Below are 27814 nucleotides of genomic sequence, written 5' to 3' on the forward strand. Positions count from 1 at the left end.
AGATAGATAGATAGATAGATAGATAGATAGATGATGGAATACTACTCAACCATACAAAGGAATGAATTAACAGCATTTGCAATGACCTGGATGAGATTAGAGACTATTATTCCAAGTGAAGTAACTCAGGAATGGAAAACCAAACATCGTATGTTCTCACTGATATGTGGGAACTAAGCTATGAGGACACAAAGGCGTAACAATGATACAATGGACTTTGGAGACTTGGGGAGAAGAGTGGGAGTGAAGTGGGGGATAAAAGACAACAAATATGGTGCAGTGTATACTGCTCGGGTGATGGGTGCACCAGGTTCTCACAAATCTCCACTAAAGAACTTACTCATGTAACCAAATACCACCTGTACTCCAATAACTTATGGAAAAATAAAATTTTAAAAAAATAAAAAATAAAAATGAATCAGGGGGATGTCTATGTTGAAAGCTGTAAATACTAAATAACTCCTATAAAAAGCAAAAAAAAAAAATACTGTATCAAGCAAAATTAGATAAGAGAAAGAAATAATAGGCATCCAAAGGAAAAAGTTATATCATCTCTGTTTGCAGACAACATAATCTTTCATGGAGTAAAACCTAAAGACTCTGGAATAAACTGTTAGAACAAATAAACAAATTCAGTAATTCTGCAAGACACAAAATTAACATGTGAAAATCAGTATCATTTCCATACTATTCAAAAAAGAAATTTTAAAAAACTCATTAACAATAGCTACCAAAAAAAGGTAAATACTTAGAAATAAATTTGACCAAAGAAGTACAGCCTGTACACTATACTGTGAAAACTACAAAACACTGATGAAAGAAATGGAAGACACAATTAAATGGAAAGATATCCTAACTTTATGGATTGAAAGAATATTGTTAAAACCAGGCACAGCGGCTCATGCCTGCATGAACACTGAGGAAAGAAATGGAAGAAGACACAATTAAATGGAAAGATATTCTAACTTTATGTATTGAAAGAATATTGTTAAGGCCAGGCACAGTGGCTCATGCCATATGGAACCTGTAATCTCAGAAATTTAGGAGGCCAAGGTGGGCGGATCACTTGAGCTCAGAAGTTCAAGACCAGCCTGGGCAACATGGCGAGACCCCATCTCTACAAAAAATACAAAAATTAGCCAGGCATCGTGGCATGCACAGATAGTTCCAGCTACTCAGGAGGCTGAGGTGGAAGGATCACTTGAGCCTGGGAGGTAGAGGTTGCAGTGAGTTGAGATCACACCACTTGCACTTCAGCCTGGGTAACAGAGGAAGACTCTGTCTCAAAAAAAAAAAAAAAAAAAAAAAAAGAATATTGTCAAAATGTCCAGACTACCCAAAGTGACCTAAAGACTGAATGCAATCTTTATCTAATGACACTTTCCACAGAAACAGAAAAAAAATCCTAAAATTCATATGGAACCACAAATGACCCCAAATAGCCAAAGCAGTCTTGAGCAAAAAGCAAATCCAGAGGCTTCACATTACCTAATTTGAAAATCTACTATCAAGCTACAGTAATCAAAACAGCATGGTACGGGCATAAAAGCACACACACTAACGGAACAGAACAGTGAATCCAGAAGTAAATCCATACATTTACTGTCAACTGATTTTCAATAAAGATGCCAAGAACACAAAATGAGGGAAGGATAGTCTCTTCAATAAATGGTGCTGGGGAAACTGGTTAGCTACATGCAGAAGAATAAAATTAGATCCTTATCTAACAACATACACAAAAATCAACTCAAACTGCATTAAACACAAACATAAGACATGAAATTGCAAAGCTGCTAGAAGAAAACAGAGGGGAAAAGCTCTATGAAATTGGTTTGGATAATAATGTTTTGGATATGACCCCAAAAGAACTGGCAACAAAAGCAAAAATAGGCAAATGGGATTACAATAAACTAAAACACTTCTACAGAACAAAGAAAACAATCAACAGAGTAAAGAAACAAGCATACAGAATGAGAAAATATATTTGCAAACCATACATCTGCAAAGGGGTTAATATCTAAAATACATAAGGAATGCAAAAAAACAAGTAACACAATTTTTAAAATGGGAGGTTTTCAGGTGATGAGAGCCTCACCCTCAGGAATAGATTAACACCATTATGAAAAGGACTTGCAGGATTGGGAGTCAATTCCAACTACATGACATACTGGAAAAGGCAATACTATAGACAGAGTAAAAAGATCCGTTGTCACAATGGTTAAGATAGTAAATTTATGTTATATGTATTTAACCACTATTACATACATGTATCAGTAAAAAGAAAGGGAAGAAAAAAATAGTTATTAACAGGGATTGTGGAGAGAGAAGGATAGGAGGTGCACAGAGGATATTTAGGGCAGTGAAACTATTCTGGATGACACCGTAATTTTGGAGACAGGACATTATACATTTGGCAAAACCTATGAAATGGTACAACATAAAGAAAAAATCCTAATGTAAACTGTGGACTTTAGCTAACTATAATGTATCAATATTGGTTCATCAATTGTTATTAAGTGTAGACCACCAATGCAAGATATTAGTAAGAGTAAACTGAGAGCTGTTGGCAGTGGCAGGAAGGTGAGAGCTTATGGGAATTCTCTGTACTTTGTGATCAATTTGTCTGTAAATTTAAAACTGCACTGAAAAATAAAGTCTATTAATTTAAGATATTATCACTAATCAACTTTATAAATATTTCATGCAGTAAATAACTAAATAGCAATGCTAGAGTATACACCAACCAGTTGTATTGAATAATCCATAAATTATTTCAAAAATATGCCATCTTTAGGATTTCTCAATTTTCAAAAAACATGAATTTATAACTAAAAATGACAGGAGTCCTAGAGATTTAAAATAGTACCAAGAGATAGTGAAATAAATAAAGTAAATCTATATTAACCATTTATTATTAGTCAAGATTTTATTTCTCAGAGATTTTCCTACTACATGATCATTATATAACTTTAAATGTCAAAACTATTTTTAATTTATTAATTTTGGATGAAAATCTTCCCTACATAAATATTAAATATTTCCCAGTCTTTCATAAAAAAGTATGTTTAAAAAAATGTTCCTCTTGTCAACTAGTTCATTAAATTCCTACACTGATATCTTTTAAAATGTACTGAGGCAGACAGGGCAATCAATCTGCCCTCACATTAAATGACCCTTGAAGATGCTTTTTGGGTTTGTATATGTGTGTGTTTCTCTCTCAGACGAGCTATCTTTCTTACTGCTTGCAATGATTTATGTGTTTTATAATTAAATAGGTGTCTTATAATTATGTGTCTTATGATGTGTCTTATAATTAAATATGGGAGGTACAAACAATCACTTTGGAACTTTATCATAAATGAGGGCAAACAGGCAATCACCAGAGTTTGTAAGGCAGGAGGAAGCAGGCAGAAAGATTCCTCCTCCATAACAAAATTACTTGAGACATATTCTTGCCGGTATATCTAATAATTAGAATTGCTTAAAATGATCATGGACAAAATAAAGTACACAATAATTTGAACTGTAAGCTGTTACTTAAAGCCATCCCATTTATATAAAACCTTAAGTGTTAACAGGCTAAAGATCTGAAATTCAGATCAGAATACAAGCTCAATTTTTATTTACCAATAAAAATACATAAAATATTACTTTTCTTACTCAGTAGTAACCACCATCATCAAATAATACTCAAAGTCTACCTAATGTAGGTAAATCCTCAGAAAATGAATTTACTTTGGATATTATGTCCAATGGAAGATGCAATGACTGTTTCTGGAAATACATAGTAATATCAAATATAACTAGTTACTTTTTCCACTCAATGAAATTCAAATATGGATAAAACAGAGGGAAAATAGTTGATCATAGTTGTTACTAAGATTTCTGCTAAAATATTTCATGCTTAGGCATTAAACGTAGTGAACTCTAAAAGAGAGAACATTTCTGTGGATAATAAGTACATAAATCTTAACATCTTATTAGTAATAATGAAAAGTAAATAAATTAAATATTGAGATTGAAGATAATTTATAGATGGACTCTAATCAAAATTATTTGGATTCCAACCTCATCCTAAAAGGACTTTAGGGTGACACAATATAATGATTATATGATCAAGATGAACTTGCATGACTCAATTCAAGAGATGGTTATTACATACCATAGACACGATCTTTCACGTAACAATATTATTAAAAAAATTTCCAAATACTTCAAGAATTCTATTATAATATATAAATAAGAAACATGATCTTCATTATTACAAGTCATTCTTGCCTGTTCTATAAGAGGAGTGGACAAACCACTATGGCAGCTTCCCAGGTTTTTTTTGTTTTTTGAGACAGGGCTTTGCTCTGTCGCCCAGGCTGTAGTGCAGTGGCAAGTACACAGCTCACTGCAGCCTGCACCTCCTGGGGTCAGGTGATCCTCTCACCTCAGCCTCCCTAATAGCTGGGACCACAAGCGTACGTCACCATGCCTGGCTAATTTTTCTTTTCCATTTTTTTTTTTTTCTGGTAGACATGGGGTCTCACCATGTTGCCCAGGCTGGTCTCGAACTCCTGGGGACAAGTGATCCTCCCACCTCAGCCTCCCAAAATGCTGGGATTATAGGTGTGAACCACCATGCCTGGCCACAACTTCCTGTTTTTGTAAATAAAGTTTTACTGGAATTCAGCCATACTCATTTGTTTACTTATCATCTGCTTTCACACGGCAATGGCAGAGTTAGGTAGTTAACAGAAATCCTATGGCCCACAAAGCCAAAAATATTTACTACCTGGCCTTTTAGAAAAAGTGTGTCAATTCCTGGTAGGGCATCAACTAGTATAACACAAATTCAAAATTAATACTTTGTACATAGAGACGTAGTCTTCTGATCATTAAAATACTCCTTGTAAAGTGTAATGTAGTAGTATAAACAATTTAGTAGTATTAGTACAGTTGTAGTAGTATAAATAATTTAGTAACAGTAGTACAATATAATAGTATTTAATGTAAATAAACTTTTTAAGGCTTTTATATATATATTCCAGAAGCATATAGCTAAGAATACACAAATGACATACCAATAACAGATGCTTGTTTTGATCCTCTAAAAATTTCTAGCCTTGAATTACCATAATACAAACTCATAATTCTTAAAGTTAGGATTTTCAAAAATCTTTTACCATCTTCAATTTATATTTGCCATATATAAATAAACTGTGAAAACTAGCCATTTTTTTACTGTGAATAAAATTTAAAGACTAAAACTATAAACTAAAATCTAAAATTGCTGTATAGCCCAAGCTACTCATATTCACTCATTTTTAAAAATTTATTTATACATGAGTGAATTTTCCTCAAGTATGATTTCCATTTGAAATCAAATTTCTGTATCACTTAAACATAAAATGGTTTACCTTTCAGAATTCACTGTTTAAGCTGAAAAATGCCTATATATCCTTTACTTATATTCACCAATTAACATTTTGACACATTTATTTTACAAATGTATTTATTTTATGAATGTATTTAATTAAATTTTATTAATTCAGCTCATATCTCTTTTAAGACTATGGATATTGTACTATAAAAACATGATAGCATTATCACATCTAACTTAATACATATTCCATAGTATCGTCGCAATCCAGTCCATATTCCAAGTTTTCTCAAATATCCTAAAAGTGAACTATGCAGCTCTACTTTCAATCTAGCAACCAATCAAGTTTCACATGCATGTTGATTTCTGACAGGTAAGCACCAGATCTTTCTCTAAACAATCTATTTGTATCTAATACATTCTCTCTTCTACCCATAAACTTGTTCTCTTGAAAAGCGATAGGAACACAATTTCCCACTACTTACCTGCCAGAATCATTCAGCAGTGGAAGGATATTGTGATAACAATAGGGAAAAACTGATTTTCCAATTATTTCTATAGAATCTGTTTTCCCTATGAAGCTAGAAAAAAAATTGTAATCTCACCTTAGATGGTTAAAACATATTATAAATAAATACCTAAGAAATATTCATTAATCATCAAGTAAAAAGTCTTGTGACCTCCCAGTTCCCAAGAAGTTTTAATATTGTTAATACTAATAACTTAATAAGAATCATGAATAATTATCCAATGCAGCATTTTATAAAAAGAAACAATTAACATTTTATAAAAGTCTAGAGTGATCTCTACTGGTCACTAAAAAAGCTAGTTTTAGAAAACTAGAAATACTTATTTTTAAACATATTCAAACAATTTTATAGTTCATTAAGCTGAATAAAGTTTTAATCATCCCATAAAAAGACTGAATAACACGTATATTATGCCTATGCATCAAGAAACAGACTTCTTCAGGAATTAGTTTCAATGCTTTCAAGCTTCTATTAAAGTGTAAAACCTACATTTTAAACAATGCTTTATTATACCAATATTATAAAAATGTATACTTTTATAATTTTCTAATATTAATATAATTAAAATATATGAATATTTTAACATTTCTTTCCTGACTTCCTTAATCTTAAAAGTAAAATTAGTGCAAGTTTTCACTGCTATGCTTTCTGAGAAATTGAGATTTCCAATGGGAATACTGTCAAATATATAAAAACAAAAAGATCAGTATTCTAGCGCTTCATTTTCAATATATTTTCTATATTGTTAATTATGCTAGAACTCAAGGTATTTTCCAGCATAAGTTATACACAAGGCCTAACAAATAGAGACCTAAATCTGCGATCGCCTTTACTGAAACCAATGAAAAATCTATACACAGTAATGAAACTGGCATGCAAATAAAAGAACTGTCAAGACATGTATTCCTAAAAATAAGCCTACAATAACTATTTTAAAGGCTGTGTGTGGTCTCGCCCATATATTTTGGCAAGATGCACTTTCTCCAACCACAGTTAGATTCATCCAAAAGCAGTGGCACTGGAGAGCCTCTGTCTCACCTGTCAAAGTTGAAGAACGTTGTTCCAAAGACCACCATGAGTCCATGGAGAAAAGCCACAGTGCTACAGCTGTTATTGATAAGCAGTTTCTAAAGGAGAAAAAACTTCAAACAATTAAGCAAATCATCCTTAATAGAGATACAGACAGACATACGATGATATTCATGTTTAAATTATGAGATGACAATTACTGTGCCGGTTGTGAAACAAAACACTGACAATTTATATACTGGAATGCTCAGAGGGGAATCCTTCATAAGTAACACTAACTTACAATCTTCTCTATTCTTCCTCTAACTAAACTTGTATACATTGGTTATCAATTCAAAAACTCTATTATGTTCGGTTAAACCTTCAACAACCTCCTTTATAAACCTCAAAATTCATCTAAATTATTAAGTTACTAACTTCATCAAAATTGCTGAAGTCTGACAGCTAAGAGCACAGTGGATTAAGATTTATAAACGGAAACCTTAAATATATTAAAACCCGATTTTTTTAGATGATGCCTTAACATGTTTTTCAACCACATTATAAAAGCAGTTCACATTTTTGCTTTAGAATAACCTCCCTACAGTAAAGCACATAGACTGATAGAGCAAGCCATTAACATGAATAAAGAGCAAGAAAAACAATTACTTGAAAAAGAAATATGCCTCAGTGGACAATTCAAGTCCCACCCCCAACTTGGCAATAAAAGACATCTTAAAACAAATTGTAACGAAATATACATGACTATACTAAAAGTTTAGATAATGACAATGAGTATCTCAAAATTTAACTTATTTTTCCAAGTGATAATATCCTCTAATCCTATTTAATACTAAAAGAGTTCAATTGAAAGAGAGGAGATTTTCCTTTTGTACCTTTTCCAAGAAAGCTAATATACAAAAGATTCTCATTATAGGACAGTTTTACCTACAGCCATGTTCCATAGCACAAAGTTACAGCAGTGTTCCAACGTATACTATAATGTCCTACAGTTTCATTTACTATATTCTCTAAGTACAAAGGTTCTAAAAAGATTACTTTCACTTCTCCCTAGATACGTTAAATAGCATAGCTGGGATATTATTTTTCTTTGGTTTTGTCAGTAGCATGTTTGATATAAATTATATTAAGTGGTAGTGTATGTAACATTGCATTGTGGGTAGTAGTTTCCTGCTTTAGTCTAGCCACATCCTCAGCTGTCATATGAGCATGTTTCCCATATTTTCTGCAAGTTCTCGCCTTTTTTTATTATTACAAAAATGACAGCATTCAAAGATGAATTGTTCTAATAATTACAAGAAACATGAATTACTTATACAGCTACATTAAACAAGTATGGATCACTCTGCACTTCAAAGAATAATCAAAGAAAAAAAAGTAATCCTCATAATTAAAGTGTTAATACTATGTGAACAATGTATTAAAGTAAATTAGCATAAAAGGATTCAAGAAACAATTAAAAACAGCTGAAAGAAATTAAGTCTCTATAATCAGATGCCAATACTATCTAACAACTGAGGCATTACATATTAGAATATAACAATTTCTAATGAATGTTAAGAGCTCCAAATCTACCGAGTATTCATTAGTGAGGATTAATGTCAATATCCCCTACTAGAACTTAAGAATCTACTTTGAGGCTGTATAGAAATGAGGGAAAAAAGGAAGAGAACCCAAAAAAGCCTGAAGGAGAAAGAAAGGGAAAGAGGAGGAATGGGGGAGACAGGTAGAGGGAGAGAGATTGGTAGAGAGAGAGAGATAGGGAGAGGGAGGGAGGGAAGGCAGGAGAGATTGACTTAGCATTTTCTCTTCTGGCATTCCACATAATCTCACATTTAGACAGCTGCTAAAACTAATCAAATGAAGTTGTTCAAACAATCAGGGAAATGGTGCTAGTTTGGGTTTTTACCTGATCTAATTAAAATAAACTGAGAAAAATGCTCTTATTACAAAAAGTACTACAAAACAATGCCTTGTATACATACGCAATAAGACAAATGTGCATGCAGTTGTGTACATAAACATATACCCCATTAAACAAGGAAATGGAATACTGCACAGTCACCATAATTTAACAGATGAAACTATACATATTTTACTAACAGAAGTAGTCAATATAAGGCCAAATAGATCCCGTGTAAGCTTAAACAGCTATACATCAAATCCAAAAAAAAGAAAAATTGTCAAAAAAAAGTAAAATAAGAAACAGTCACATACCAAGATGAAACAATAAGTTAAAAACTTCCTTCGTAAAACCTCATAATCAGAACATTTTAAGCCAAATTAGGACTTCTAAAGTTTAAAAATTCCTGCATCAAACCATTTTCTCCTTTGTTTTTCAAAGAATGAGCAGCAAATAAAAGAATAGAGTTAGCAGCAAATAAGTCTAAAATAATCCTTAAAAAAATGCATAGAAATGAGCACAATATTGATAAAGTAAAACTAATGTATTAAAATATGATCATTAGTTAAGAAAATAAAAAATTACTCAAATGGTTACAATGAAGACACACATAGCATTTAAACACAAATACCTTGGTATTTTCAAAAGTTCAACCAATTCTAACACATTTTATTCACTACAAAGCAATGGAGAAGCAAGATACCAACAACTTTTTTTCTTTGAAATTGATTTCAAGATCAAAACTGTATTTCATTTCCATGGCATTAAAGTATGTGATTTATACAGTATACCTAAACTTGTTGCTTACTTCAAAACAGCAAATACTAACATGTCCCCAGAGAGGATAAAATTTTATGGGTCTTTAAAAAGCAAAAATAAAAATAAAAATAAATCTGTGGTTTTCAATTTCTGATTATAACCATGGTATAAATCTATAATCAAGAGCTTTATTTGCATTGACTTTTCTAAATCAGTATCTCTTCACCACGTGTAGTAAGCTATTTCTAATGAAACACACTGTTATCAAATGTGTACCAATTATCAAATGTGCCCCAGTTGTCATTGTTTTTTAAATTTTTACAACAAAGTAATATTTGCTCCAAAGAGGATATATTTTCGTTTTAGGAAAAAAATTCATGTGGATAATGAATATACTAACTTAAAGCACATGATTTCACTATCTTTCTCCTGCTAGAATTTGATAGGCCTCACAGAGGACAAAAAGTGCATATATAACAATATCTACTAAACTCTCAAATCCTGGTCCAAAAATTACATGCAGGAGGATTACCTGCAAAAAGTGAACAGGTAATTAAATGACAAATAGATGTTAAAAATTACTTAAATTCTTATCAGGTCAATTTGAAGAGCCAAAGTTTACATAAAGAAGATTTTAAGGAAGAAAATAGCAAAATGTTGGGTTTGTAAGATGTTTCAGTGAATGCTAATGTAGAAACTATAAGCTTATTTGAAAAGAAGAAAACCATTTGCTGATCATACTACAGCAGCTACCTACATATTTTCAATTAAGTGATTCTGCTATTATAGGTACACATGAAACCATGTTTGGAAATCCCACAAGCTATAAGGACAAAACCCTCCTTTTGTTTACTTTGGATACTAATTAGAGATACAGATAATATGGATACGACTTATTTATAAAAGAGAAAAAATAATTTTTCTCTCCTTCACATGAATAACTGCATGTTAAATGAACGCTTTTACCTTTCAATGTAAAATCTGTTTACACATACAATAAGGCATGATAAATCCATAGTTAAAATAAAACACCAAAATGTATTTCTGGTTTTTTATCACTAAAAGTTTATTCTGAAAAGGTTCTGGACATTTGAAAAATAAAGGACTAGAATCATTCCCATACCCTACCAGTGTATTTTGGGAAAATCAAATTTTCTGTAAAGAAACTTATGAACATATTTGTACAGTTATTGTGATCTAATATGAACCAAAAGCAGATAATGAATAGCACTAGGAAGAACACAGGGATATTTTAGTTCTAACACCCTCCTGTCTCCCTAGCCCTTACCTCCCTGCACATTCCAAATAATCTTTTGTAATTCACTGTCTCCGCCCACCCCATTTACTTTATGCCACTCCTAGTTACTGTCACACTAGGAAGAAGTCTAACATGCAGATTTAGAGTGGCATGGATAAATGGCAAAAAAATGCCTAGAAAATTGGTCTGTTCGCCTTTATAATTTTGGTTGAAAAATACTCCATCGCTCCCAACTGATGAAAACAGGAAGCTCTATTCATAAATATAAAATTCACTGCCTATGATATATAATCATCCTAATAAGAAAATGAGTTCTATACATACTTGTCCAAAGGGGCAAAAAAGGAGATAGTTTCCCAAAGATGTTTCCAATTTTCTTCTGAATCAGAATTAGCAAATCGAGACGACTAACATACTCTGTCTGTGGGCATTATTCCTTACTACACACAGCATTTTGTAATTTATTTCAAAGCTTCCATTAGAAACAAAAAAATACATAGCTTCTGTTAACCCACTCTATTCTAAGCTCATAGAATCAAATACTGAACAATCTACATTATAACATAAGCATTTTACTTTATAGAAGATCTGCTATCAGAAACTCTATTAATGTCTAAACTACTTAAAGAACTATATAAACTGAATACACTTCAATGAAAGACAAAAAATATTACAATCATAAAGAAAACTAAGATTCATCCAATAAACTATATTACAATCCCTGTCATTCATTTTTTTAAGATCTTCAAACTAGGCATGAGATAATGGTATACATGAAACATTACATTTAATCTTTATTGTAAAGGCCGCCATCTAATAGATTGATAATAAACTAGACAGACGTGATTTAAAATTTGTAAAAGAATGCCCAGACTAACACTTTCATGACAGCCAATTATAGTCAAGCCTAGCAAGCAGTTTGCAACCAGACCTTAAGGTAAACTTTTTTTTTTTTTACAATGAGTTACAGATTCACAAGTTTAAGAAGACAAGAAAAAGGAAAACAGAAGGAATCCAGCCACCCAGCAAATATGAAGCAGACCCCAGAATGTGATACAGTCCAAAGATGTGAATTATTGTATATCATCACTGTTGTTCAGAATTTCACACAGACTCTTGAGCCAATTTTGTTCATTTTTCCACAGACACAATAATGAACTAAAAAGAGGAGGCAAAAAGGCAGAGGTTGAGCGGGGAGTAGAAAGGAAAGCCCTTAACTGCAGAGCTCTGCTCTACAAATGCTTAACCTTACAGGAGTTTGGGCTCCTTCAGCATTTGTATTCTATCCAAATCCTCATGAGTCACAAAAATTAAAAAGCTATATCCTTCTGGATGCCAGGAAAGGCCTTACCACAAGCCTTTTGTGAGAGAAAGAGAGAGAGAGAAAGAGCAAGGGGGAAAAGCCACAGTGGTAGGCAGTCCCACTTTACTTAAGAGTACTGTGAGGTCACAAACCACATGATTCTGCCTCTCCAGTAATAGTGCTTGCAAAAAAAAGGAGTTTTAAAGCTTTTGCTTTTTTGGATTGTGTGAATGCTTCATTCGCCTCACAAACAACCACAGAACCACAAGTGCGGTGCAAACTTTCTCCAGGAGGACAGCAAGAAGTCTCTGGTTTTTAAATGGTTAATCTCCGCAGGTCACTACCAGCCACCGAGACCAACAGAGTCAGTGAGTGCTCTCTAACCACAGTCTATGCAGTAATAGTAGGTCCTTCAAATATTTGCTCATTCTCTTTTTGTTTTGTTTCTTTGCTTTTCACATGTTACCAGCTACATAATTTCTTGACAGAAAAAAATAAATATAAAGTCTATGTACTCCAGGCATACTGTAAAACTAAAACAAGGTTTGGGTATGGTTTGTATTTTCAGTTTAAGGCTGCAAGCAGTATTTACAACAGAGGGTACAAGTTCTATCTGAAAAAAAAAGGAGGGACTATGGCATCAAACAGCCTCTTCAGCACAGTGACACCATGTCAGCAAAACTTCTTTTGGGGTAAGTGTTACCATTTTTAAAATCCTGTAAGATATGAACCTGTTAAACATAAAGGTATGATTCTTTGATAAACTGCTAGCTTTTCCAAATAGCATATTAAAGATCCTAATTATGCTATCTTGTTGCATTAAGAATTGAAAAATGAAATTTCTGTATATATTTGCATTTGGTATCTGTAATGTATCTAATTTTCAAAGTAATGACTTGAAATATACAAAATTAAATTATCTCACATTGATCAAAATGTTTTCTAGAGTTATAGAGGTGAGGATATGAAAACAGTAAAAGAAACAGTTTAATACTCTCATTAACCCTCACCAGAAGAAAAGTCAGATCCTAAATTAATCAAAGCATTATAAATTATTGACTCCGGCAGCTCCCAATATTTGAGCAAACTTCAAAAAGGAAGCAATTTTACAAAATAACAGACCACAGAATTATCTCAACATTATGGTCTACCATGTATAACACAGAAATAAACCTGTAGTACAGTTAACATTTTAACCAGCTCAACTAAAAGAAATCTACTTATAAATTCAAACTGTATCCTATCTAAATAAGTTTGTTTCTAAACAACTTTATATAAGTATACATTCAGCTGAAATAAAATTATGATAAGCACATCACAGCCATTTTTAAAAGATCTTTATAGTTGCCCAGGATATTAAAAAGTTCATGGAAGTATTTTAAAACTTACATGCAACTGCATTTTTCTATGTAATTTTAATTTTACATCTACACACTGTTATCCATAGACCTTGTTATAAACACACTGAAACACTGAAACGTCTAAGATTCTTTTAATCACATTCTTGGACCTACCAAAATGAATAACTGCTGTTTAGTCTCATGAAAAATAAAGCTCCATAAGGATACCCTGTATGATTTTTAAAAGCCACAACTATTAAACCATGCTGGACTTTAAAAGAAGTAGGCATAATCTTGTCCCTTAATATTTAATTTCAAGTTACTGTTGATACAGATATGTAAATGACTTTAACATTCATCAGCTGATGTGTTATTATAGCAAAATATCTAAACACACTTACAAGATTCTCTTTATGATCTCCAACATGTTCCAACTACAAGGCAAGTTTTCAAAAATTTTTCTTATATCCATTAAAATAAACCTTCTTGCTGTGTACATCTATATTAACTCTGCTTTTAACTTACAACTAATGACTGGAGTTTCCTTTACTCCTCCTACTTCACACATTTTAACTGGATACTACTAGAGGATCAGTCTCAGTTTAGGTCAAACAGAAATAATTAAACCTGAAGGGAGAAAAAATGGTTTCTCTTACAGGGTGAGGAAATGTACTTTGTATTTTACAAAAAAAAATGTAAAATTGCTTTAGTGACTCCCTCAATAGCTGTAAGTGGGCCCCCTCAGTTATAATATATACAATATAATAATCACAGATTAATTTAAAATTTTAATGATGGGTACCAAGTATTACTCTAAAAACTTCTATATTAAGGAAGCAGGACATAAACACAGCTAGACTACATTACAACACATAGCATAATTACAGCTTATACATCGAAAGTTTTGTTACTACTACCCAAGAGATAAAAGGAAAAAGAATAGTTAAAACTACTGTTACACAGAGGGATAACTTGAAACAGGGATAACAGAGATATCAGGGAGGGATAACAGAGGCAGTTAAGTTACTCTTTCACGTTATCACTCTGTTTAACTATTTATTTTAAACACATTTTAAAAACCAGATCAGGAACAACACAAGTTTCAAAAAATTCTTCAGTATTAGAAGTAAAGTTATCATGAAGAATATGTTAAAATTCTCACAAAGAATATATTAAACTGCTTCTTATTCTATCATAACAGGGATCTTATACTTCTGTAACATTCTTAATAACTATTCAAAATTTCCAAAACTTGACAGGATTCTAAGCAAGGCATGGTAGTGAACCTTTTTTTTTTCCAACATTACAACCAGTTCTTCCTCTTTTGAAAAGTGGGCTGCACCTTCCCTCCCCGCCAGCCCCCAAACAGTATCTTGAAGCCTGAATAGAGAACTTAACATCAACCCACTACCTCAGACTAATTACAGGTGAGTAGTGGACATCATGTATATGTTATCACATTGCAAACATTTCCCCATTCTATAATCTATGCAAAGCCTAAAACCTCACTTCAGGCTTTAGATTTTTATATAATGATTATCACCACCACCTAATGAAATGTCTTAAGTATGTGCCCCAATTTTGTAAAATAGTTAAAAAGAAAGTTTAGGATTTTCCTAGGTGAGGTACAAAGCACACATTAACAACTGCTTCACCTCAAATACAATGAGTGGTGTGTGTGTGTGTGTGTGTGTGCGCGCGCGCGCGCACATGCTAGAGAAAGAGTATGTCTGTGTCCTTGATCTCTCAGCATACTTCACTTTGAGTTAATCAAAAATTTTCAATCTGTACTACTCAAAATCTGTCCATCATTTATCATAAATATAGCTTGCTGAAAATCACAGATGTGACTCATAGAGTATCTTAAAATTAATGACTCATGAAAATATATCAGCTGACTGATTATCTACATAAAATCTTTGTAACTGCTTGAACATGATGTGTGAACACTGATTTCCAAAACAGCAATTGTGGTCCATATCAATAATATATTTATAGTTTCAAGATTCAGTAGTGACAAAGTTTTATAGCTTCTTTTTAAAATACAGAGCTAAATTCCAAAACTAGGGAGCAGAATTACAAAGTTAAGAACAAACACAGAAAATCACTCTAACACATATCAAAAGCTAAAAATGTCAAAGTAATTCCCAAAGACTCATATAAATTATTTTAAATTATAATAATCCTAATTTTACATTACAAACTGTTAAAGATTTTTAGTTTTTATTTTTAAAAAATGTTTTGAAATCTAAAACACTGAAAAGAAATTGTGGAAAAAGATCTGGCTGGTCTGTCTGACTCTCCTGATCAATCCGTCTCTATATCACAAGGCATGAAATATACATGATTACATTATGATATATTTTAGTTATCTTAAAAGAACAAAATATTAATTTATTCAATTACTCTCTTCCAGCTAACAACTGATAGTTTGACTTGTTTAAATCAGTCATGCTAAAGTTAAATTCGGTAAGATAGAAATGTTCCAGTTTGTTAAAAGAACACTGAAATATTTGATGGTTAAATAAACTGCAGGGGCGGGGGGAGCTAACTCATTGAAGGCACTAAGATTTTATCAAACACACAGAATTAATATTTATTGAATAGAACCATTCACAAATCAAAACTCACTGTACTCCAATACTTTAAAGCAGCGCTAATCAATTACAAACCTTTTCTAGTGCTTCAAAATTCATGTGCTTTCAATTTTACACACTGGTGGTCCTCAAGTACTGTACTGAGGCTGAGTTAAGACATTCTGTATCACAACTTTTTTTTTCAACAAATATTCATCTAGAGGGCTTTCCCCCTCCCCCCGATTCAAGAGCTGCTCACATGAAAACTGTGGTAATATTTTTATACTGTACTTCTTTGTTGAAGCAAAAGGTTAGGGGTTACCTAAATACCTCAACTGTATATATATATTTAAAAAAAAGGAAAAGGTAAGTATTCATAGAAAAAAATCCAATGGGACTATATTATTTATTTTTGCATTTCTCATGATTAATGATGCACCCGTGCATACTTGAAAATTGACGGCAAAACAGGGTAACATCTCAAATCCCTCTCCAAAGCATACAAATACCAATCTTCCATACTGTTCTAACCTTTGTTCTAGGATACTAAGATATGACAACTCTAAGTCAATAGTGAAGTCATGCAAAAGCTCATTAAATGCATTAAAACTGCAAATACTATTACCTAACAAAAATCTTTAGACATTTTATATGAAGGATTCACCGAAACAGTCTACCTCTATAGCATCTATTAAAAATATATAAAAACATGTGACCAAATAGACAAATGCCATCAACTCAATGTGAAAAAAATCCTTCCTGCAAATACTAAAATTGTAATTATGGCAAAGCATAACTATTTTTTCTAGTCACTCACAAGTCAGACATTACTAATCAGGTGCTAGCAGATCCAATGGTAATTTAAGCAGAGACTTCTCAATACGTTACCTTAATGTACTATTTTTTCTCCTATACCAATGAACGCTGCAACTTCCACTGAAGATAGATAAAATTCTGCCTCTCCTCACCCCCCAAAAAATCATAAAACTCCCATAATAAAGATAACAATGAACTCCAATACTTGGTATTTTCTAAATAATAAAATATTCTAAGCTAACTGTCTAAAGCATGTGAAAATTCTTCATCAAATCTGAGATGTTAGTATCTTAAAACAAATCTTTAAAAGAAGTCTCACATAATGAAATTTTATGCCTTAATATAATCTCTTGCCATTTCAAAAAGATTATGAAATTCACTGGATATATTTTTTGATTAATGTGTTACGATTCAAAAAATAACAGGGAAATTCTATACCTTATTAAAAGGGAGTTTCCTTACATTTTTAACCACAGTCAACCACAAGCTTTTGTCCATTCAACAGCACATACACATGAAACAGACCATACATTCCCATACAACTGTTTTAAGACCTGTATAGCAATTCAGATTAAATGCTCTTTTACTGTATACAGTATCTTCACTTTATGTAGAATTCTTAGGAATTTCCTCCCCTTTATACTATTTATTAAGGGCATAGGACTCAAGATTTGGAACAGTGTTGAGTGGATGTAAGCAACATGTTATCAAACACTTTAGGTTTTGTTGTTACTGCTGAATAGAAAGAAGCCTAACTAAAGCAAAGTTTTTCATAAACACTAATAAACAGAAACTGCATCATTTAACATGATATAAAAAACAATCATTTTTTATATCATTTAACCTGATATAAAAAACAATCCCCAAATAAGATGAGCTGTAGAATTAAAACAGGCCTTTAAAGGCTAGTTGCTACATAAGTACTTAATACATGAAGAGAAAAAAATTGTTATTCATGCACTTCCTCTACTCTATATTCTTGTTAATACTCATAAATCCAATATACACCCAAGGAACAAAAATCATACCAAGGGTGACTTGAGCTCTAAATAAAAGATAAATGTTTACCTTGATTAGATGATTTTCATCTTTTAAATCAACTGCCCACAAAACAAGGAAATCTCTGACATATATACATACGCAATTTCGATAATGTTTGAGATATTTAAAAATTATCATACTGATGTTAGAAAATTTACCAAGTTAACATTATTCCCAGAAATATATCTAAGATTATTTTGGCAAACAGTTTAAAGACTCTTTTATCTCTACTATTCCTATTGCCAATTCTCTTAATTATACATTAGTTACATCAGATTAGTGACATTTCTAAAAAGGTATATCTAAATATCCTATGTAAGGCAAATAATTTTCACCACAAAGTCAAATAAGGTAATTTTATTTTACATTTCAGTTACATCGATTTTTTACATCAATGATGTCTACCAGAATCATTATATACCATCAACTATAAACATATATTTACATAATAGACTAAGTTAAAACTCAAGAACTTAAATACACATTTGTAGGTTCCCCTAAATTACATGAACCATACCATTATTTACATATTCCTTATAGTCATGTATCTTACACCTACATCTATTTTGTGCTTCAGGAAAAGCAAAAAAAAAAAAAAAAAAAAGACAAAGTTAAATGCTAGCCAAATCACAATAACAATCATCAATAAGGTTTGAATACATATATATGCAGTCTTTCTTTAGAAATATCAGAATAATAACGTGATATTCCACAGAACTTCACATGAACACGATGTATTTTTACACCGAAACAAAATACGTGTCATATATGTTCAACTTAAATTTCTTCTGGCTATGTTTGTCTTAACATTTTTATACATGGCATATACACATGCATGAGTGTGAATGCATTCACACCAATGACTACAGAACTTGTAATAATGATTATAAACCAGGAAAAAAATTGTAAATTATGTAACTGAGGTACTATAGTTCTGTCATGAAATATAATCAAAATTTTTTTGCATGTAAGTTAACAAATGTCAATCTATAAAACCAGTAACAGGGATTAGGCATCTACTAGGAATTTCAAGACTAAAATAATCAATCTTATAAAATCCAAAGATGTTATTTTCCAGTTATAAACTTAAGTAACAATAATTAAAAACTGATATCAGTTAAACAAAGTATTAGAGTTTATAAGGGCAAATATGAATGGAATTAATTTGCTAATAGATTCCTATTTATAAATATTATCTCAAAGAACAACTCTGGCTTGAAGCTAAACAGGTATATTTTCTCATTGACCATGTAACCTGGGTAAACAATTTAAGCATTGAATTTCTAATTTTTCTATGATAATTGCTAGAATTAACTTTCTTTTTAAATTTCTGTACTGAACTTCCCAGTTTAAGACTTCAAATTCCCAATATAATTTTAAGTGAAAAGATATAATTTTACTAAATGATTACAAATTATTTAAATGTATCTAAACAATGTGAATTTACTTTGAAGCTTAAAAGAAAGGATCATGACATTTATTTTACTATGTAATATGGTATTACATTTTACAACATGTCAACCTACTGCTGTATCACTATAACGATCCTAGAAAATCCATGTGTATCAAAAAGGTACACAGTATGGATTCTCTTCAATCAATTACAATTTTATTATAAGATACTTTAATGCAAACACAGCTCATTAAAATACATTTTTTTAGATAAAAGTAAATTCTCATTTTATTTCATAAACTGTCAGATTACAGATATCTGTAACAACTGTACAGGATCACAGAAAGGAAACTTCTTTATGCTAACAATCCACATTATATCAATCACTGTGTTTTCCATAAAGCTGATACCTGTGAAAGTACATAAGCATTTCATACTAAGAACCTAACACCCAATTCAAAAATATTAAGACACCATGAAGTAATCTATGAGAAAACTCCCATCAAGACAACAGCATCTTAACATTAGGCAGGATAAATGGTTACAAAAGATAATCTAATAAGATTAATTTTTTTACCTCTCATGAAATCTGTAAAGCATTTCGGTAATTCAGCTTTTGACAAAATGCAGAAAAACTTGCTACTGCTCTTATAAGAGTCAATGCAAAAATGAAATATTTAAGAAGATAATGCCTATGGAGATACTACTTACAAAGACAATGTGCTACAGTGTATTTCTAAAGAAATGGAAATATACAAGTCAATGTACTCCAACTTTTGATCATTAATCCAACCTCCTTTCCACAGAAGAAACTCCTTTTCACATATTATAAACTCCAGTGTCCACCCAGAATTCTTCTATTCTCCCAGTTTTCAAAACCAAACACATATACATTATTTCTCTCTCTGTAATTTAGAAGGAAAACTTAACATTTTAAAAACTTTTTACCACTAGTAACCACTTCATTTTAAAAGTGTTAGCTAGATAAGGACAATGAGTACTGTCACGAAAGCTTTATTCTTGATTATGTAGTAAAGATTTAACAATATCCCTCCCTTATAACACGCATAAGCATATTGCAGAATATTTTTGTACACCAATAGGACTAGAGAAAACACATAAAGTGATCTGTTTTTAACATTATCACTCACAAGTACCCAGGAAGAAAATTTAGAGCCATGTGCTGATTATTAGGCTTATTTTTATTTTCATAAATATTCTGGTCCTATCAAGACACAAGACACACTAAAATCAGAATCTATCAAGATACACTTAAATATTTTTTAAAACATCAAAATACTTGGCTTAAATTGCTAAATTATTTAATTATTAAATGGTTAAACCACTCTATATATGTACAATAAATTTTTACTCAGACGTATTCAAACAATTTTCTTGACTATAAAATTAAATCCTGTGCTCCAAGAAATACTGTAACACAGTATTTTTAATAAAGTATTTACTTACAAAGTAAATACATATTAGATGTACAAAAAGATAGGAAGTGATTTTCTATAATATAACTTCATTAATAATACATGTAACTCAAATTTTCTACCTCTGTTTTAAACTTTCTTCATTCAAATACATGGTCAATTCACTTAATTTTTTTGATCCAGAAACATCTTAAATGCTGTTTTAAAGGAAACTTTAATAAAAATGGCCTTACTCATTATTATAAACTGGCATAAAAATATTTTTTGAAACTTGCTGTGAAAACAGTGTGATCTGAAAACTTACATACTTAAAACTTATGACATGAACACAAAAAATGCAAGCAAATGCATAAAACTACATAGCAACAATAATATAGTGAGAAGCCAACCCCGAACATAGGAGATATACATATGCTTTCTAAAATAAAAGCTCAAATTAAAGCTTGCCTTTTGAACTGCCCATATGAACAGAACAACATGCCAATGACTTACAGAATTTTTTTCTAAACTGGCAAGACTAAAAAGAATCACATCCAATCCCTATTTTGCAATTATAATGTGTGATACTTTCTTTAACCATAAGACTGTCATTTATTCTAAATTTGCTGGAAAAGCTTGCCATTGCATTTTTCCTGTACGTACCTCTTCCTTATCAATTATGGTGTATCTCCAGCATTCGAAGAAAAAAAAGCTCCAAAACTTTAACTGCATTTAAAATATATAATTAAATCAATATATACAAGGGTTACTCTAAAAATACTCATTTCTAGAAGGCCAGAAAATCTTATTTTTTTAAGCTGATGCATCTACACATAGAAAGCAACTTTTAGTAAGTTCTTTTGCTACGCCATAATGATCTGCTCCAGAAACTCAAGGGTACCTAAAACAACGGACTACCTGTTCTAGCCATGCTTAGGAATGTGTCCAAATCATTTTTATTGATTTAACCTTTATAGGAATGCTACATATCCTCAGAGCAAAACATTTTGAATGTATTTATAATATGATACACTTCTAGAAGCCATGAAAAAGAAAGCTAAAAACAAATCTAAGACGCCCCTCCACTGTTGGTTGTTATGTTTATTTTTGTTTATTTGAAACAAATATTAAATACATATTAAATAATTCTTTTTGCGAAAACTCACTTTGGTACTACTGTAAGTAGAAATAAGATTTTATTTTTTTAGAGAAAAAGTATATTTAAGTAAATTCTAACTTTAAGAAACAAAACTCCTGACTTGACAATGATGTTATCACCTATAAATTTTAAAGGATTCTAAATGCTTCTTTCATACTCTAATTACACATTAATCATGGAACCTATAAACAAATCAAACTTAAACTTACAGAATTTAGTCTTTATTGAATAAACTTAAGTTGTACTCTAGTTTTCATCCTCAGAGTTTACAGATAAAGTTCTGTGTAGCCTATCTTTCTAGCTTTCTGTAAGTTGTACTTTACAAATGGTTTCAACAGCTAATGCCTGTATTAGGTATGTTTGCCAAATAATTCACAATATTATGCTTCCTCACATTATGGTTCAGCATTTGCTAACTTAAACATCACCTCTAAAGAAGTTATACTTTCACTGCAGATTGTTCTCTCAAAAAAGGCAAACAACTTTTGAGCATTTCCAGATGTAGCTCTCATAAAAAAAAAAAATTATAGGCAACTTCTCAAGAAATTCTAAAATCAGTAATAAAAATACAATAAAACTGGTATCATTTCTGATTACTTCAAATGATCACATATAAGCTTATATAAAAAGCTGATGGTACTATATTTTGAATTAAGAAACTTTGACAGCTACAAGAGCACTGATTTCAGGTAGCTGCCAGTAGGTAAAACAACCAAGTGTATTTCAGTGTCAAACAAGATTCTGCTGAACTGGAATTTAGGAAGCTCTGAGGGTTACTGACCATGTGATAAAAATAATAATACTATCTTTCTCAAATAGTTAATTTATTTTTATACTGGGCAATATAAATTTGGGTTCAGCTATACTATTTCGTTTTGTCATCAATTTTTTTATAAAACATCCAAGTATGCATGAGATTATGCTAAACTAAAATAAAAATAATTTATATGCAGCCTATTTCTCTGGATGAGACAAGGGAGGCATCCAGGGCACAAAATTTAAGGAGGTACTCACTCTTGCACAGTCCTCAAAGAGACAGCCTCCTTAAATTTTGTGCCCTAGGCACTTTGCTTGCCTCATACAAATTCTAGTCCTGAGCTGAAGACACATAAGTATAAACTATTTACACTCATGTGAGTATAAAATGACATGTAATAAGCAGGGTGACATAAAACATAGAAATAAGGTAATATAAGAAGAAAAATTAAAAATAAGAATATTTACATTAAAGAAGACATACTTGCCATAAATATCTTGCAAACTAAGATAGTTATGGCCTTATTGCTTGACTATAAGGCTAAGTAATCTTATTACTTGACTATAAGGCTTTAAGAAAAAAGGGATTGAAAGAGTATTCCATTAAAGAATTCACTAGCCTATACAAGACTTCTTATGTTACAGTGGTATCCAAATCTGGCTGATCAACAGAATTACCTGGGGAGTAAGTCTTGGGGAAGAGCAGCTTGTGGAGAGAAAGCCTTCAGAACTTTTTTAAAACAAAACTCCCTAGATAAATTAGCCAAGATTGTGAGCCAATAGATAGCCAACTTTTAATACTCCTAGAAATAAGCTAAAGACAAAATGCATATCCAAAATATATTAATTCCAAATTGTGTCCCCAATAAACATTTGTAAAGCTTGTTCACAAGAAAAAATTAGTTCCTTTCTTTCCTTCCTTTTCTTCCAATAGAGGTGATAGTCAATGGTTATGTGTTTAACCAGTAATATTAATAAGAAAAATAAAGTTGTGTTTAACAAGCTATATTAATAAGGAAAATAAGAAGTACAGAGGATTCCATAAGATGACTATAGCCAAAAACATTAATATTCTTATTTTTCTATTAGGTTCAAATAGCTATTCTAAGTACATAATCAATCTAATCCAAAACTTTATTTTAAATGTTGTTTTAAATTATTTAAAATTTATTAAAGTTTTAATTTAATTAGACAACATATTTTGAAAAATCAATGTAACTAACATAGTCTATAATTTTTATAGAGTATACCTTAATTGAAACTGTACTTTGTTAGCTTTCATTGTCGAGCGTTTACTGTACCGGGTACTATGCTAAGCCATTTATAAACATTATTTCCTTTAATTCTTACAACTCCCTTATATGAGACATGTATCATAATTATTTACAGATGAGGAAGCTGAGAATGAGGTAAAGGAACTTGCTCAAGGTTACAGAGTTGAAGAGATGGGATTCCAACCCAAGCCTTTTAACTCTTAATTACCACTTTACAGTGTTATACATGATCTAAATGAAGTTACTTCCTAGTCCTCAATCAATTTCATCTGTAAAGGTGTTAGTTCTCAGAAACATAATTATTCTAAAGTTATTAAACCAATAAAATACAAACAAGAAGATAATCCTGGAGTCTTCAAATTACCCTGCCACATATCTTTAAGAAATACTAATCTGACAGAACCAAAGAGATTAAGAAAAAATAAAAGTATATCAAGGAATAAGATTAAGGTGAGGTTTGTTAAGCCCCCTTCCCCCTCAAGACAAGGTCTCACTCTGTCACCCAGGCTAGAGTGCACTGGCATGATCACAGCTCACTGCAACTTTGACCTCCTGAGCTCAAGGGATCTTCCCGACTCAGCATCCCAGGTAGCTTGGACTACAGGCACGCACCACCACGCCCAGATAATTTTGTAATTTTTTGTAGAGACAGGTTTTTGCCATGTTGCCCAGGCTGGTCTCGAACTACTGGGCTCAAGCGATCCTCCCACCTCAGTCTCCCAAAGTGCTGAGATTATAAGCATAAGCCACCGCACCTGGCCTTTAGGTCGAGTTTGATCAGAAAAAAAAAGTTTCAAGGAATTAGATAATTCTTAATCATTATAATTAATAGTCTTAATGTCCACAATACACATATATACTCTATGTGATATAAAAATATAATTTAGGGGTAAAAAATTAAACACTTAAACACCAAGAATGTCTAATCCTCATTTATAAAATTAAAATAATCTTGTATCATAAATATGATTATAATCATAGGCTTTGGTGTCAGATCTGGAATCAAATCCTACTTCCTATATTTATCTGTAGCATTCCTTATACTATGGTCTCATAGCCCCATTTACAAAGACCTATACCCCTACACATATGCTAAGTGATCCAGACAACCTTTATTTCTAAGCTTTAACTTCTAATTATAATTTCTTAAATTCTAATTCATTTGATATTCACAAAAATCCACTAGTAAGTGTACTTTTTCCTGTGCCTACCAAAAAAATACTGCACAAGATTCTAAGAAGTAAATCCTTGACATGTACTATTCACCCCAATTTTAACCACAATTATCCACATTATTACTCAAAACAAAAAGTTCTCAAACAAGCCACAAAAGTGCTCCGCTTTTTTCTCTGGCAGAGGGTAGGAATAAAGCTATGAGATTATATTTTTCAGTCTATATGGTTTTGAGAAAAAATGCTGATTAGAAACCATAGGTTATGATATGATACATGAGATATTTTGCAAAGATAAAGCACTAAGGAAAAGAGAAAAGCTGTTTGGGGATCTATGAATCTCAACAGACTTCTCCAATCATTCTGCACCTATATTTAACTTGATAGGTAATATTTTAATGAGCAAACTAACAACTTTTAAAAGCTACATGAGGTAGGATCACACTAAAATAAATACATATGCAAGTATAAAGTCATAACTACATTTTAAAAGGAAAACACAAATTTTCATATTAGTTTTCATTAGAAACATCCACTGAAAAAGGTTAAAAGTGAGTTTGTCTCCGCAACTTCATAAAGAGTACAATGGCATAAGACTCGAGGTAACAAAAAGAAAGGAATGAAATGGCAAAATGTATACACATGAAAATAACTACGGAATAACAGATAGTTAAAAGTCCTCAGCAGTAGCAATATTATTACAAGTTCTCAGATTCTGGTACCCTATCTGGCAATGAAGGCAAGAAGTTAGAAAAAGATGTGGTTACAAATTAAAAATGACACACTAAGATAATTCATCGCTTTTAGTTTAAACCCTACAATTATTCACACTTATTTCATCAGAAGCCACTAAAAAGATGTATGAAGATAGACAAAAGGTTCTGTGTACAGCCAGAACAGTCAACCAAAACAGCAGAGAATAAATTCACAAATAACATGGTGATTTAGTAGTTATTAACCTAGCATTAAAAAAAAACGGAGACTGGACTGAAAAATATGGGCAAGTTGAAGAGATATTACAAAGAAACTAACAGAAGAATTTGGCAGCAGTTATGGAAGAGGCAAAGAATAAGGAAAATGAGACTGCCACTTAGGACAGAATGGTTGATGGTGCCAATGATCATGAGGAAAATAGGAAAGGGTTTTTATTATAAATAGAATGAGTTCTCTTTGTCACTACAGTTGTGCCTAGTGAAAAAAAAATAGAATACTAAGTTATATATAACACAATCTCAATTTTTTTTTTGAGACAGTGTGTCGCTCTGTCACCAGGCTGGAGTGCAGTGGCACAATCTCAGCTCACTGCAACCTCCGCCTCCTGGGTTCAAGCGATTCTCCTGCCTCAGCCTCCCGAGTAGCTAGGACTACAGGTGCGCACCACCACGCCCAGATAATTTTGTATTTTTAGTAGAGATGGAGTTTCAACATGTTGGCCAGGATGGTCTCGATCTTCTGACCTCGTAATCCACCCGCCTTGGCCTCCCAAAGTGCTGCGATTACACGCATAAGCCACGACACCCAGCCCTACAATCTCCATTTTTAAAAATAATATGAGAGTGCCTCTATATCAGAGGAACTCAAAACAGTCATAATATAAGGTTTACACAGTAGCAGGATTTTGGAAGCCTTTTTTTTTATTTGCCAATATTTTTCAATTAAAAACCATCAATACATAAAATTTCAAAAATTTAGTTAATAGTTTGCGTTAATGTTTTAAAAGCTTATTTTTCCTGAACCCATACAAAAAAATACATATGAAGAACAATGTTTTTAATTTTTCATGCTCAAGTTGTAAGAAACAGAACAAAGTCCTCCAATTACAAGATATTTGTAAATCGAAAAAGTATTCTCATGAAAACCATAGAATGTCATGGAAACACAAGGACAGCAGGGGTTTTGGTGTTAAGTTTAAATTCCAGTTATAGCGCCTAGTACATAACCCTGAGCAACCAACATTTAAGCTCCCTGTGTCTCAATTTCCTCATCTGTAAAAATATTACCACCTACCTTGAAAGTTTCCAGTTAAATAAAATGTAAAGTGTCTACACTGATCTGACAAAAGCATTACAATTATTAAATATAATCAACTTTCCAAACCTTAAATCATCTTAAGTCTAAACTCATACTCATAGTGTGGCTCACAAAACAGCAGAATCAGCATGACCTGAAAGCTTGTTAAAAATGCAGAATCTCAGCCGGGTGCAGTGGCTCACACCTGTAATCCCAGCACTTTGGGAGGCCGAGGCGGGCAGACCAAGAAGATCAAGACCATCCTGGCCAACATGGTGAAACCCCTTCTCTACTAAAGGTCCCTAAAGTTGTTCACTTGATCTGTTTCAGAGTTCTGATACTGAGTGAAGAGCACCTGGTAGTTTACTCTTAATTCTGAAGGACTCGAGAGACTAACAGAGATCATCTAATCTATAATAATTGCACCTCCAAAAGGCAGCTTTTCAAACCTGAATAGAATTTTCACATTCATACACCCCTCAGTTTACCCACAATGACTGATTAAGAGAGAAGGTCCTATGTACATAACTCTCTCTTGTAAAAAATGCCTTCAATAATTTGAGACATTCTGCAAATTATTAAGTTGCATAACAGTACGAACTAGCTACTAGTCTATATTTCTTCATGTTGTCAATGATGTCTCACCACAAGCTTGTGAAAAGCCTTGATGAAGTTTAAAAATGGTGTCTCTGTCCCATGTTCCTGAGACAGC

The 27814-nt window shown here is 32.0% G+C and overlaps 2 protein-coding genes across 32 annotated transcripts in view, besides 10 other annotated features; one reads left to right on the plus strand and one right to left on the minus strand.

Moving 5' to 3' along the window:
* SUPT3H (SPT3 homolog, SAGA and STAGA complex component) overlaps nt 1-27814 on the minus strand; it is a 568878-nt gene that overhangs the window by 506886 nt on the left and 34178 nt on the right. For 6 of the 28 annotated variants that reach the window (XR_926319.4, XR_926321.1, XR_926320.1 and 3 more), the window contains 2 exons: nt 6937-7025; nt 5854-5949 (listed from right to left, as the gene is read on the minus strand). The exons of 20 other annotated variants lie outside the window; for them this stretch is intronic. Coding sequence is in view for 5 of the 8 variants with exons in the window: in NM_181356.3 (NP_852001.1) it covers nt 5854-5949; nt 6937-6974 (134 nt within the window). In the remaining 3 variants the exon portion in view is untranslated. Of the gene's footprint in view, nt 1-5853; nt 5950-6936; nt 7026-12099; nt 12253-27814 lie in introns of those variants that run through there. 2 more of the 28 variants (XM_017011370.2, NM_001350326.2) reach the window with 2 other exon arrangements.
* Nucleotides 11106-11112: a transcriptional cis regulatory region, noted in NCBI's record as "FRE (FOXO response element); -1269 to -1263". NCBI's record gives its function as "mediates induction of transcription by Sirt1/Foxo3a" and the evidence as "EXISTENCE:reporter gene assay evidence [ECO:0000049][PMID:21713995]".
* Nucleotides 11106-12710: a biological region, named in NCBI's record as "RUNX2 P1 promoter region". NCBI's record gives its function as "regulatory_interactions: RUNX2".
* Nucleotides 11185-11208: a protein binding site, noted in NCBI's record as "GATA site". NCBI's record gives its function as "negative regulation of promoter activity" and the evidence as "EXISTENCE:protein binding evidence [ECO:0000024][PMID:16140555]".
* Nucleotides 12070-12710: a promoter, noted in NCBI's record as "p306 fragment". NCBI's record gives the evidence for it as "EXISTENCE:reporter gene assay evidence [ECO:0000049][PMID:11604227]".
* Nucleotides 12117-12157: an enhancer, noted in NCBI's record as "CE1". NCBI's record gives the evidence for it as "EXISTENCE:reporter gene assay evidence [ECO:0000049][PMID:12186862]".
* Nucleotides 12270-12326: a protein binding site, noted in NCBI's record as "TRE-site A". NCBI's record gives the evidence for it as "EXISTENCE:protein binding evidence [ECO:0000024][PMID:27253998]".
* Nucleotides 12290-12312: a protein binding site, noted in NCBI's record as "OSE2". NCBI's record gives the evidence for it as "EXISTENCE:protein binding evidence [ECO:0000024][PMID:12890574]".
* RUNX2 (RUNX family transcription factor 2) overlaps nt 12388-27814 on the plus strand; it is a 222753-nt gene continuing 207326 nt past the window's right edge. For 3 of the 4 annotated variants that reach the window (NR_103533.2, NM_001024630.4, NM_001015051.4), the window contains exons 1-2: nt 12388-12518; nt 12719-12842. Coding sequence is in view for 2 of the 4 variants with exons in the window: in NM_001024630.4 (NP_001019801.3) it covers nt 12785-12842 (58 nt within the window). In the remaining 2 variants the exon portion in view is untranslated. Of the gene's footprint in view, nt 12554-12718; nt 12843-27814 lie in introns of all 4 variants that reach the window. The other variant, NR_103532.2, reaches the window with a different exon arrangement.
* Nucleotides 12395-12440: a protein binding site, noted in NCBI's record as "TRE-site B". NCBI's record gives the evidence for it as "EXISTENCE:protein binding evidence [ECO:0000024][PMID:27253998]".
* Nucleotides 12462-12507: a protein binding site, noted in NCBI's record as "TRE-site C". NCBI's record gives the evidence for it as "EXISTENCE:protein binding evidence [ECO:0000024][PMID:27253998]".
* Nucleotides 17236-17436: a silencer, noted in NCBI's record as "peak5825 fragment used in MPRA reporter construct". NCBI's record gives its function as "represses an SCP1 promoter by STARR-seq MPRAs in K562 erythroleukemia cells {active_cell/tissue: K562}" and the evidence as "EXISTENCE:reporter gene assay evidence [ECO:0000049][PMID:32103011]".

This window comes from Homo sapiens, chromosome 6, assembly GCF_000001405.40.
Source record: "Homo sapiens chromosome 6, GRCh38.p14 Primary Assembly".
Taxonomy (NCBI): domain Eukaryota; kingdom Metazoa; phylum Chordata; class Mammalia; order Primates; family Hominidae; genus Homo; species Homo sapiens.